A 13,631-nucleotide genomic window follows, 5' to 3' on the forward strand; every position below is an offset into this window, starting at 1 on the left:
GATGCGCACCACCTACACACGCACACCACGACACCCAGCTAATTTTTTGTATTTTTTGTAGAGACAGAGTTTTGCCATGTTGCCCAGGCTGGTCTCGAACTTCTGGGCTCAAGTGATCTGCCTGCCTTGGCCTCCCAAATTGCTGGGATTACAGGTGTGAGCCACCACGTCCGGCCTAGCTCTTCTTATTGTGCCTTTTATCCCACAGAAGTAGTCAACTGAATGGAGTCAATTTTCTTCATGGTCTTCGGTTATTATATATTACTTAAGGAGTCTTATCCCAAGGACATAAATCGAGTTTCCAATATTTTCTTCCAAAACTTTAGTTTTGCTTTTTTACATTTAGGTATTTAATCCACCTAAAATTAATTTGGGGATGTGGTGTGATGTAAGAATTGAACTTTTCTCCATATGATAGCTAATCATCCCATTTTATTCCCATTTTATATGTGTGTATATATATATATACACACACACACATACACACATATATGTGTGTGTGTATATATACACATTTGTGTATAAAGGCAGGGGTCTCACTCTGTTGCCCAGGCAGAAGTGCAGCCCTGTCCTCCTGGCTCAAGCAATTCTCTCACCTCCACCTCCTGAATAGCTAGGACTACAGGCATGCACCACCACGTCCAGCTAATTTTTAAATTTTTTGTAGAGACAGACTCTCACTATGTTGCCCAGTCTGGGTCTCAAACTCCTGGTCTCAACCCATCCTCCTGCCTTATCCTCCCAAAGTGCTGGGATTATGGGTGTGATCCACCATGCCTGACCCATTCAGGTATGTTTTATTGAACAGTCCATTCTTTCTTCCTGACTTTTAATGCTATCATGTGTGTGTGTGTGTGTTTGGCTGTTCATTTCCATTAGTCTATTAATTTGTTCTAGATCTAAAACCACAGTATTTGCTGTAGATTTTAGTTTAGTTTTGTTTTGTTTTGTTTTGTTTTTGAGATGGAGTCTCACTCTGTCACCCTGGCTGGAGGGCAGTGGCACGATCTCAGCTCACCGCAACCTCCACCTCCCAGGTTCAAGCAGTTCTCCTGCCTCAGCCTCCCGAGTAGCTGGGACTACAGGTGCCCGCCACCATGCCCGGCTAATTTTGTATTTTTAAAGGGTTTCACCATATTGACTAGGCTGGCCTCAAACTTGTGATCTGACCTTGTGATCTGCCTACCTCGGCCTCCCAAAGTGCTGGGATTACAGGTGTAAGCCACCATGCCTGGCCCTATAGCTTTTAGTTTTAACTTTAAATAACTATTTAAATTACTAAAATATATATGCCATTGTCAATAGTTTAGAAAAACTGAGAGAAGAAAACAAAAATCACGTAACATTTCACCATCCTAAAATAACCACCAATAAAATGTTAGTGTTTGTGCTTCCTTCTTGTTGGTGGTGTTAAATGACTGAGCAAAACAATAACATGTCTAGAAAATGGGCCTAGTGCAGAAAAGGCTTCTTTAGCTTAAGTAGGGGAGAACAGAAAAAAAAATGTAAATATGTTCTTTAAATTTTTTTTTAATTTTTTTTTTTTTTTTTTTTTTGGAAATGTAGTCTCATTGTCACCCAGGCTGGAGTGCAGTGGCACCGATCTCGGCTCACTGCAGCCTCCACCCCCTGGGTTCAAGCGATTCTCCTGCCTCAGCCTCCTGAGTGGCTGGGATTACAGGCAGGTGCCACCATGCCAGGCTAATTTTTTTGTATTTTAGTAGAGACGGGGTTTCACCATTGTGATTGGTGTTTTTTTTTTTTTTTTTTTTTTTTTGAGACAGAGTCTCGCTCTGTCGCCCAGGTCGGACTGCGGACTGCAGTGGCGCAATCTCGGCTCACTGCAAGCTCCGCTTCCCGGGTTCACGCCATTCTCCTGCCTCAGCCTCCCGAGTAGCTGGGACTACAGGCGCCCGCCACCGCGCCTGGCTAATTTTTTTGTATTTTTAGTAGAGACGGGGTTTCACCTTGTTAGCCAGGATGGTCTCGATCTCCTGACCTCATGATCCACCCGCCTCAGCCTCCCAAAGTGCTGGGATTACAGGCGTGAGCCACCGCGCCCGGCCCACCATTGTGATTGTTAATGGGTGTCAACTTGATTGGATCGAAGGATACAAAGTATTGATCCTGGGTGTATTTGTGAGGGTATTGCCAAAAGAGATGAACATTTGAGTCAGTGGGCTGGGGATGGCAGACCCACCCTTAATCTGGTTGGCACAATCTAATCAGCTGCCAGTGAATATAAGCAGGCAGAAAAACGTGAAAAGGAGAGACTGGCCTAGCCTCCCACCCTACATCTTTCTTCCATGCTGGATGCTTCCTACCCTGGAACATTGGACTCCAGGTTCTTCAGTTTTGGGACTCAGACTGGCTCTCCTTGCTCCTCAGCTTGCAGATGGCCTATTGTGGGACCTTGTGATTATATACATTAATACTTAATAAACTCATATATATATATGAGTTAATAATACTTAATAAACTCATATATATGAGATCTATATATCTAAGATATATATATGAGATCTATATATCTCATATAAGATATATATATGAGATCTATAGATCTCATATAAGATATATATGAGATCTATAGATCTCATATAAGATATATATGAGATCTATAGATCTCATATAAGATATATATGAGATCTATAGATCTCATATAAGATATATATGAGATCTATAGATCTCATATAAGATATATATGAGATCTATAGATCTCATATAAGATATATATGAGATCTATAGATCTCATATGAGATATATATATGAGATCTATAGATCTCATATGAGATATATATATGAGATCTATAGATCTCATATGAGATATATATATGAGATCTATAGATCTCATATGAGATATATATATGAGATATATATATCTCATATGAGATATATATATATCTAATATAAGATATATATAGGAGATATATATATCTAATATAAGATATATATATATCTAATATAAGATATATATATATCTAATATAAGATATATATATATATATCCTGTTAGTTCTATCCTTCTAAGGAACCATAATACAACCATGTTGGCCCGGCTGGTCTGGAACTCCTGACCTCAGGTGATCCACCTGCCTTGGCAGCCTCCCAAAGTGCTGGGACTACTGGCGTGAGCCACTGTGCCCGGCCTGTTCTTTAAATTTGAAGAATTTTTAGAGGAATGCTAAACAGTTGTTCGTTTTTAAAAGGCCCAAAGAAGAATAAAACCACTTACGTCAAAAGAAGTGGTTCCCTGAACATGAAGCAAGCCCCTTCCTTCCTTCCTTCTTTCCTTCTTTCCTGACTTCCTCCCTTCCTTTCTTCCTTCCTTCCTTCCTTCCTTTTTTGAGACGGTCTCACTCTGTTGCCTAGGTTGGAGTGCAGTGGCACAATCATGGCTCACTGAAGCCTCAACCTCCCAGGCTCAGTCAATCCTCCCACCTCAGCCTTTCAAGTAGCTGGGACTATAAGCACGCACCACCACGCCCAGCTAATATTTTTGTATTTTTTGTAGAGTTGGGGTTTCGCCATGTTCCTAGCCTGGTCTTGAACTCCTGGGCCCAGGCAATCCTCCTACCCCAGCCTCACAAAGTGCTAGGGCTACAGGCATGAGCCACTGCACGTGGCCGAAGCAAGAGACTCTGAAGAAGATAAAACAGTGGACAGCCCAGTCAAAAGATTTAGACATCCATCCCCCCACCGACGAGAGACTGTAAGAAAGAAGTTGCTCCATCCTCTATCGGGTAGGAACCTGGGCCTTCCTTACTGCTTGTCATTCACAGCCAGCCAAGACATCTTAGGCTACACTCCAGTGACCTTTAAAATTAAACTGCTTAATTTTAGTGGATTAACCAGAACAGCCAGGAGTGGGTCATGATGACCTGGGAGGAGACCAGCAGTTTGCCTGTGGTCATAAACAAGATCTCATGATCCAATTTCATTCTGGCTTTTAGAAACAAATTAATTTTGTGGGATAAAAAAATTCAGGAGGAAAGGGTAAGAAAGGAAGAGGGAAGGAATTAATCAAGTTGGGTTTTTAGAATGAATGTTGAAAAACCAAAATTCAGGCTGGGCGTGGTGGCTCACGCCTGTAATCCCAGCACTTTGGGAGGCCGAGGCAGGCTGATCACTTGAGGTCAGGAGGTCAAGACCAGCCTGGTCAACATGACAAAACCCCATCTCTACTAAAAATACAAAAAAGCTGGGAGTGGTGGTGCATGCCTGTAGTCCCAGCTACTTGGGAGGCTGAGGCAGGAGAATCACTTGATCCCAGAAGGCAGAGGTTGCAGTGAGCGGAGATGTTGCCACTGCACTCCAGCCTGGGTGATGGAGTGAGACTCTGTCTCAAAAAAAAAAAAAAAGTTGGCCAGGCCCAGTGGCTCACCCCTGTAATCCCTGCACTTTGGGAGGCCGAGGCCAGAGGATCACTTGAGCTCAGGAGTTTGAGATCAGCCAGGGCAACACAGTGAGACCCTATGTCTACACAAAATTAGCCTGTGGTCCCAGATACTCAGGAGTCTGAGGTGGGAGGATTGCTTGAGCCCAAGAGGTCAAGGCTGCAGTGAGCTGTGATTGTGCCACTGCACTCCAGCCTGGGTGACTAATAGGAAGAAAGCAATGGAAAATAAACTGGGATTCTTATAAAAAGCAAGCTACTTTTCTAATCTAAGTCAGAATACCCAGAACATATACAAGGACAAATGAGTCAATAAAGTGACAAAGCCAAACCTAGAGCTATTTATGAAGAATAGAAAGGCCTATGCTGCGTCAGGAAGAAAAGGCAAACCCAGCGCTGGAATGGTCTACCAAACAAGGTTGTAAGAGCTATAGTCTTAGACACGACAGAAAAATTAATAGATATTCTTCTGTCCTGAAAGGTTTAAGCATCTGCTCACCCAACATTTGCAAAGGGCGGTATCAGAAAGTCTCTAGAGTTTCCTTCCAGTTTCCAATCTGCCTGCATGCAGCAGTCTTCTGTAGATTTATGCATGGTTCCACACATCTCTTCCAGAATATTAATACTAATTCCTCACATTGAGAGGCACTTTTTGTTTTTCAAAATATTTTCACAAGGAGCAGGATACAATGAAATGATCCTGTGACTTGGAGTCAGAAAATGAAGCTCAGGTCCAGAATCTACATTTTTATTAACTCAGCAGCTGTGGAGAAATTACTTCCTTATCTGTAAACTGGAGCTAATAGTAATACCAACATAAAAAGTTTGCTATAGGGAAAAAGTGAGATGAAGTATTAAAAGGTTTTTGGCTGGGTGCAGTGTCTCATGCCTGTAATCCCAGTATTTTGGGAGGCTGAGGAGGGAGAATAGCTTGAGGCCAGGAGTTCAAGATCAGCCTGGACAACATACCAAGACCCCATCTCTACAAAAAATTTTAAAAATTAGCCTGGTGTTGTGGCATGCACCTTTAGTCCTAGCTACTCAGGAGGCTTGGGAGAGAATGGCTTGAGCCCAGGAGTTGGAGGCTGCAGTGAGCTATGATTGTATCACCGCACTCCAGCCTGGGCAACAGAGCCAGACCCTGTCTCTTACAAGCAAAATAAAATAAGGTACTAAAAGGTTTCTGAGGCCAGATGTGGTGGCTCACCCCTGTAATCCTGTCACTTTGGGAAGCCAAGGTGGGCGGATCACCTGAGTTCAGGAATTTGAGACCAGCCTGGCCAACATGGTGAAACCCCATCTATACTAAAAATACAAAAAATTGGCCGAATGCAGTGGCTCACGCCTGTAATCCCAGCACTTTGGGAGGCCGAGGCAGGTGGATTACCTGAGGTCAGGAGTTCGAGATCAGCCTGACCAACATGGTGAAACCCCATCTCTACTAAAATCACAAAAATTAGCCAGGCCTGGTGGTGCACACCTGTAGTCCCAGCTACTTGGGAGGCTGAGACGTGAGAATTGCTTGAACATGGGGGGTGGAGGTTGCAGTGAGCCAAGATTGCACCACTGCACTCCAGCCTGGGCAACAGAGTGAGACTCTGTCTCAAAAAAAAAAAAAAAAAAAAAAAAAGGTTTTTGACTGTAGTCCCAGCTACTCCGGAAGCTGAGGTGGGAGAATCACTTGACCCAGGAGGTGGCGGAGGTTGCAGTGAACCGAGATGGCACCACTGTGCGCCAGCCTGGTTGTCAGAGTGAGACCCTGTCTCAAAAACAAAAAAAGAGGTTTTGAGAGGTCAGAGTATCACACATATATAAGATGTATAAGATGTTGTCTTCATCTTCTTACAATACATTGACATAGACAGTTACCATTATCCCATTTTCAGATATAAAAGCTTCAGCGTTTCCGTAGTCACTGGTAGGCAGTATGGCCAAGCTTGCGATCTAGCACTTCTGACTCAGAAAATCAGTTAGCTTTCCCTGACCCCACACTGTTTGTCCAGCAAAAATAAGTTCCGACCTTGACCTCTTCCCATGGCACCTACAGAGGCAATGCCTCCCCAGCTGCCTGGTTTCCAACTATGTTGAGCAGTGAAATTGCTTAGATCATGGTAGATCATTTCCAGGTCTAACTTTGGTCCAATATGTTCTTCCAACTCAAGGTCTCTGTGGGTGAAAGGTTTTTAGGGTCTTTGAAACTTTTACATATGTTGTGTGTTTAGCCAGATTTGGGGGGTTTCAGTGTGCAAGATAAATGCACACAATCCTGACAAAAAGAGATCTAAATAACTGTCTAAACAACTGCTCTTTTAGCCTACATTTGCTTTGATAGCAATGCCAGGATCACGCTGAGCTAAATACTTGGCATTAACCAGTGTAAATAGAGAAAAACAACTCTTATGCAATGAGAGTCAGTTGAAAACCTAGAGCTTATTGAAAGTACCAAGAACAAGAGAAAAAGAAATCTGGAAAAACAATCCAGCTACTTTCTCTTCCTTCAAAATAATCACACACCTCAAATAGTAGAAAGTGGATAAAAAATAAACAATAACAATGAATCTATTAAAAACATTGGTATTAACGGCCAGGTGCAGTGGCTCATGCTTGTAATCATAGCACTTTGGGAGGCCGAGGTGGGTCGATCACCTGAGGTCAGGAGTTCGAGACCAGCCTGGCCAACATAGTGAAACCCTGTCTCTACTAAAAATACAAAAAAATTAGCCGGGCATGGTGGCACACACCTGTAATCCCAGCTACTCGGGAGGCTGAGGCAGGAGAATCGCTTGAATTTGGGGTAGGGGGTGAGCGGGGGCAGAGGTTGCAGTGAGCCAAGATTGCACCATGCACCATTGCACTCCAGCCTGGGCAAAAGAGCAAAACTCCATCTCAAAAAAAAAAAAAAAGACTGATATTAACAAAGCAAAATTGGGGTGTCAGAAAAATCAATATAAACTTAAAGGCAAAATCATTAAATAGAATAGAGGTTTATCAACCATTAATATAAGACAAAATCACCAAGAAGATATAATAATAGTGAGCCTTCACATACCAAACAACATAGTGTTACAATATATAAATGCTAAACTGTCAGAAACACAAGAATTTGAGAAAAACTCAACCATCATAGGAGACCTGAAAACTCCTTTCTCAGGATTTAGGAAGTGAGAGAACATTTTAGCAAACTGAGAAAATACTTTTTTAAAAAATTGGATCACCTATAGCCATGAAAGAAAGTTTCAATAAATTCCCCCAAAATGTAGGTCATAAAGATCACACTCTCGGCTGGGTGTGGTGGCTCACGCCTGTAATCCCAACACTTTGGGAGGCCAAGGCAGGCAGATCACCTGAGGTCAGGAGTTCGAGACCAGTCTGGCCAACATGGTGAAATCCCATCTCTACCAAAAATACAAAAATTAGCCAGGCATGGTGGCGGCTAATCCCAGTTATTCAGGAGGCTGAGGCAGGAGAATCTCTTGAACCCAGGAGGCGGAGGTTGCAGTGGGCTGAGATCACACCACTGCACTTCAGCCTGGGCAACAGAGTAAGACTCTGCCTCAAAAAAAAAAAAAAACAAAAAAACAAAAAACATTCTCTGAATGCTAGAAAGCAAGTCTCCTGTGGTCAGCAATCTTACCAGTTTTATTTACCTTCATGCTTCAGCACCCAACACATTGTTCAGCAAAAAGCAGGGATCCATAAGAATTTGTTACATAGGAAGAAGGTTAGGCTGTCAATAAAACTTAAAGACAACATGAAAAAGATATCCTCCTCCCAATATGATCTCTTACAAATTTTTATAGCACTCTTGAAAATAATTCTTGTGTCAAAGAGAAAACAAATATGCAAATGAGAGCCTGTTTAGCAATAAAGCACTGTCTTCAAATGTATAGGTTTACTTTTTTGAGAGAATATACAATCTCAAATGCATTTCTTGGGAAACACAAAAGATTAAAAATAAAGGAAACTGAGCATTCCACTGAAGAAGGGAGAAACAGTAGAAAAATGAAAGGGGAAATCATAAAATGAAAACAAAATAATTAACTAGACAACAAGGGAAATCAATATACCTAAGAAACTGAAAAACAAATAAAAAAACTTCAAATCTGACCATGAAAAATATAGAAAATACTGATAAAGCATATTAGGAATAATAAAAGGGCTCTGTGGCTCAGGCTGGAGTGCAGTGACACAATCACAGCTCACTGCAGCCTCCACCTCCTGGGCTCAAGCGATCCTCCACCTCAGCCTCCTGAGTAGCTGGGAGTAACTGGCACGCACAACCACGTCTCGCTAATTTTTGTATTTTTTTGTAGAGATGGGGTTTCACCAGGTTGCTCAGGCTGGTCTCGAACTCCTGAGCCCAAGTGATCCCCCCTGGCCTTGGCCTCCCAGAGTGCTGAGATTGCACAGGTGAGGCACTGCACCCAGCCGAGTCTTTTTAATAACTAGAATAACACTGTGCTTACCTTTATAGTAAGTTTAACATTTAAAGGAAATGGATGACTCTCTCAGAAAATATAAGCAAAACAGACTCAAGAAGAAGTAACATCATCTTGGTTGGTCGGTATTTTGTAAACACATTTCCCCAGTCTTTTGTTTACCTGTTGATTTTGTTTATCATGCCATATATAATTTCTCCTTCCCCCAAATTATGCAAATATTATCCTATAATTCTTCCTTATAATTTACAGTTTTATTTTTTATTTTATTTTATTTTGAGATGGAGTCTTGCTCTATCGCCCAGGCTGGAGTGCAGTGGCGCGGTCTCAGCTCACTGCAAGCTCCGCCTCCCAGGCTCAGCCATTCTCCTGCCTCAGCCTCCCAAGTAGCTGGGACTACAGGTGTGTGCCACAATGCCCGGCTAATTTTTTTTTTTTTTAATTTTAGTAGAGATGGGGTTTCACCGTGTTATCCAGGATGGTCTCGATCTCCTGACCTCGTGATCTGCCCGGTTTGGCCTCCCAAAGTGCTGGGATTACAGGTGTGAGCCACCGCACCCAGCCAGTTTTATTTTTTTGTTAAGCTCTTCAATTATTTTTGTTGTGAGATTGGGGTCTACCCTTATTTTCTTCCAAACAGATAATCCACTTACTTGATATCATTAACCCCTGCCTGGCACGACCTCCTGATCCCCAGTGACCCAAGAAGCAAGTTGTGTTTGCTGATGCAAAGGGGCTCTTGTTGGCATCGGTGCACAGGTTTGAACCAATTAATATCATTAATTAACCAAGAGCTACTAACACCTACATTATTGAAAATATACAAATAGCTTAATTTAAAAATTGGTGAAAAGTTTGAATATGTCATTCACTGAGAACGAAATGGAAATGGCCAATGATATATGAAAAAAATCCTACCATGCCATTTTCTTTTAAAAATGTAATCAAAACAATCATGAGATGCTTTTTTACACCTGTCATATTGACAAATATCTTAGTTTGATCGTTTTTAATTATGGTGAAGATATGGGAAAAGGGCAACTTTTTTTTTTTTTTTTTTTTTTTTTTTTTTTTTGAGAGAGAGTTTTGCTCTTGTCCCCCAGGCTGGAGTGCAATGGCCTGATCTTGGCTCACTGCAACCTTTGTCTCCTGGATTCAAGTGATTCTCCTGCCTCAGCCTCCCAAGTAGCTGGGATTACAGGCATGCGCCACCACACCCGGCTAATTATGTATTTTTAGTAGAGACAGGGTTTCACTGTGCTGTCATGCTGGTCTCCAACTCCTGACCTCAAGTGATCCACCTGCCTCGGCCTCCCAAAGTGCTGGGATTACAGGCATGAGCCACTGCTCCCGGCCAAAAGGGCAACTTTTCAAGGCTACTGGTGGAACTGGGCACGGTGGCTCATGCCTATAATCCCAGCCCTTTAGGAGGCCGATGTGGGAGTATCGCTTGAGCCCAGGATTTGAAGACCAGCCTGGGCAACAGGGAGACCAAGTCTCTATTAAAAGAAAAATAATTAAAGTAAATAAATACGACAAACAGGCTGGGCACGGTGGCTCACGACTGTAATCCTAGCTCTTTGGGAGGCCGAGGTGGATGGATTGCCTGAGCTCAGGAGTTCAGACCAGCCTGGGCAACACCGTGAAACCCCATCTCTACTAAAATACAAAAAACTAGCCGGGCGTGGTGGCACACGCCTGTAGTCCCAGCTACTAGGGAGGCTGAGGCAGGACCCACTAGAACCCGGGAGGCGGAGGTTGCAGTGAGCCGAGATCAGGCCACTGCACTCCAGCCTGGGCGACAGAGTGAGTCTCTAATAATAATAATAATAATAATAATAATAATAATTACAACAGACAAACAAACACAAATCCCGTCTATTCCACAGCTAAGAGGGTTTCCAGTTTCAACATTGTCCCTGTTGTCCCTCCTGTCCTGATCACAGACCCCCATCACTGGTGACCCCAGAGTGATCCCAAATGCTGCCCCAGGTGACGTGCTGGTGGCCTGAGGCAAAATGTCTGTGTCACACTTCTTCTCCTCCTTCTTCTTCTTTCTTCCTAGAGACGGGATCTCACCATCTTGCCCAGGCTGGTCTCCTAACTCCTGGGCTCAAGCGAGCCTCCCACCTTGGCCTCCCGAGTAGCTGGGACCTACTGAGTCATACTTGTAGTCACATCCTTTTCCTTTCTCCAACCCACTGGTTAATCATGAAAGGCTCTTCTGATTGGCTGCCTCCTGGCAGTAGTGCCTCAGCGCGACGGTTCGGGAGCAAATAAATAATTCCCGCTGGGAAGCTGTTTCTCAGACAGGAGCAGCGACACCCCTGCCACGCCTGCCGCCTGGAGTTGAGTGGGGTAAGCACGCCGGCCTCCAGGAATCGACGGTGCCACGTGGTTCTTCTTGCACTTCTCTTCTTCTCCAGTTTCAGGGGACACCGTGGGGTGTGCGAGCCCGGGGGAGCGCAGGGAAGGGCGGGTTGGGCTGCAGGTGGGAATGTGCGGTCCTTCTGCGCCCTCAACAGAGCTTCCTTCCTTTTTGCCAAGGTCCCCGTGCCGCCTTCAGCGCGCCTCCTTATGCACCTCTACCTCTGCTGCAGCGTACCTCTTCCGCAGCCCTAGCGGCCTCCCCGAGGGGCGCCGCGGCCTCGGCTGTCCCTCCCCTGCCTGGCACGACCACCTGACCCCCAGCGACCCAAGAAGCAAGTTGTGTTTGCAGACGCAAAGGGGCTGTCGTTGGTATCGGTGCACTGGTTTGAAGCCACTGCGGGCACAGCCTGAAGAGGGCCGGTGTCCCGCGTGCAGCCTCCCCGGCCCGGCCTCCTCCTGCTGCAGAACCGCCCCCCACGCCCGGGCTGCTGCGCCCCAGGAGGGACTAGCGGGTATTCAGGGATGCCCGCACTCTCGGGGGCGAGCCTGCAGCTGTGTGCCCTGTAGGGGCTTCCTGCGGGGCACCGTGAGCGCAGGTGGGGACAAGCGGGCCGTGCAGATGCGCACCCCCTGGATGCCTGGGGCTCCTTCCAACAAGAGCCCTGTGTTGGAATGCCGGGTCCCCGCCGAGGTGAGAGGGTCGGCTTCGCCTTCCAGGTGGTGTTGCCGCCGAGTACCCTGGCCCCGCGGGCCACCGTCCAGTTCTGCTTCTCTTTAGAGCGTGCTCAGCGGCCTTTCGGGGACAGTAATCAAAGGCAAAACTACAGCTGGGTGCCGGGTTCGCCGTCCTGCTCATCAGAATGAAGCCAGGCTCTGTGAGGGCGCACAGACAGACAGGCTGAGGCCTCTGCGCCTGCCTTTTCCACCTGGGCAAAGCGTGATTTCTTGTCCAGGACGCGCGTGTTTCCCATGTCGGGGAACTTTGCTCAATCTGTTTTCTTGCTCCTGAATTCATAATGGGGAAACAGGACTGATTCAACTCCTAGTCCCTGCAGAAGGCCTCGAATGCCTTGCATTCTTCTCTCACTTCCTGACTACAAGGGATGAGGTTTTGCTTTAGGAAGATTCTGGGAATGGAGTCGGGAAACCGAAGAAATGCAAATAAAGTATTTATATGTAATTATTGAAAGGGCTTAGCAGAGAGTGTCTAAGGACCGTGGGTGGTGTGTGCGTGCGCATGTGTGTATGTTTGTGTGTGTATTGCAGAGGTTGGGGAGGGGTTCTTTACGTTAAAGATGGGAGAGAGAACTTTGCCCTTCTACTTTCCTCTCCATCTAGGAAGGGCTACTTTCCTGGTAACTTGAAATAGTCAGGCTTATTCCACTTTTGCCAAAAGGAATGTTCATTAAAGCATCTTCAACAGTTGATATAATAAACACTTTTTCTCCCTCTTCATCATATAAAAGTGTGGGGAGACTCTGTCTCTGTTCATTTCAAAATATGGGTACTTTTAAAAACACTTATTTTCAGTAGTTTAGTACACTTTAATTTTTAATTTTAATTTTTATTATTATTTTTTAGACAGTATCTCCTCATGTTGTCCAAACTGGTCTTGAACTCCTGGGTTCAACTGGTCCTCCTGCCTAAGGATCACTCAGAGTGTTGGGATTACAGGTGTGAGCCATGGTGCCTGGGTACTACTTTTTTTTTTTTTTTTTTTTTGAGATGGAGTCTCACCTTGTCACCCAGGTTGGAGTGCAATGGTGCCATATCAGCTCACTGCAATCTCCACCTCCTGGGTTCAAATTATTCTCCTGCCTCAGCCTCCTGTGTAGCTGCGATTATAGGCACCTGCCACCATGCACTGCTATTTTTTATATCTTTAGTAGAGACGGGGTTTCATCATGTTGGCCAGGCTGGTCTCAAACTGCTGACCTCGTGATCCTCCCACCTTGGCCTCCCAAAGTGCTGGGATTACAGGCGTGAGCCAACACACCCGGCTGCTACTACTTCTTTGAATGCAATTTACCTAGACCCAGAAACCTGACCTTTGCCCCCACGGCCCCCATAGCTCCCCATTATGTATTGATGGTCCGGTATTGAAAGCATCCACTGAAGTGTTTGCCTCCCCCAGGATGGGAGAAAGTGAGGACAAGTTGGCCTTGGACACAGCCGGCCGCAGGCTGGCCACCCCCCTGGAGCTCAGAACATATGGATTAGAATAATATATGTGAATGTGTGCCAAGTATGCCTCTAGCTTCAATTTACAGTGTTCTGAGAGCTTTAGATGTTGGAAGGCTTTAACCTCTTTTCAGGGACTCTTCATTCTTCGATTATTATTCATAGATGACAAATTTTAAATAAAAGATTTCTTTTTGTACACTTTTATCTCTTCTGATACTTGATTTCTTGGACTACATTTTTTAT

The 13,631-nt window shown here is 44.8% G+C and overlaps 2 long non-coding RNA genes across 2 annotated transcripts in view, besides 1 other annotated feature; one reads left to right on the forward strand and one right to left on the reverse strand.

Moving 5' to 3' along the window:
- GPAT4-AS1 (GPAT4 and GINS4 antisense RNA 1) overlaps window positions 1–13,631 on the reverse strand; it is a 44,064-nt gene that overhangs the window by 21,427 nt on the left and 9,006 nt on the right. The window lies entirely within an intron of this gene.
- Window positions 7,327–13,586, forward strand: LOC124901939 (uncharacterized). The gene is made up of 3 exons (XR_007060898.1): window positions 7,327–9,593; window positions 10,900–11,192; window positions 11,382–13,586. It is a non-coding gene; the product is annotated as an uncharacterized LOC124901939 (long non-coding RNA).
- Window positions 11,727–12,489: an enhancer, noted in NCBI's record as "H3K27ac-H3K4me1 hESC enhancer chr8:41424977-41425739 (GRCh37/hg19 assembly coordinates)". NCBI's record gives its function as "activates a minimal SCP1, AML or CMV promoter by ChIP-STARR-seq in naive and primed H9 embryonic stem cells {active_cell/tissue: H9 hESC(naive and primed)}" and the evidence as "EXISTENCE:reporter gene assay evidence [ECO:0000049][PMID:30033119]".

Source organism: Homo sapiens, chromosome 8 (genome assembly GCF_000001405.40).
Source record: "Homo sapiens chromosome 8, GRCh38.p14 Primary Assembly".
In the NCBI taxonomy this organism is placed as follows: domain Eukaryota; kingdom Metazoa; phylum Chordata; class Mammalia; order Primates; family Hominidae; genus Homo; species Homo sapiens.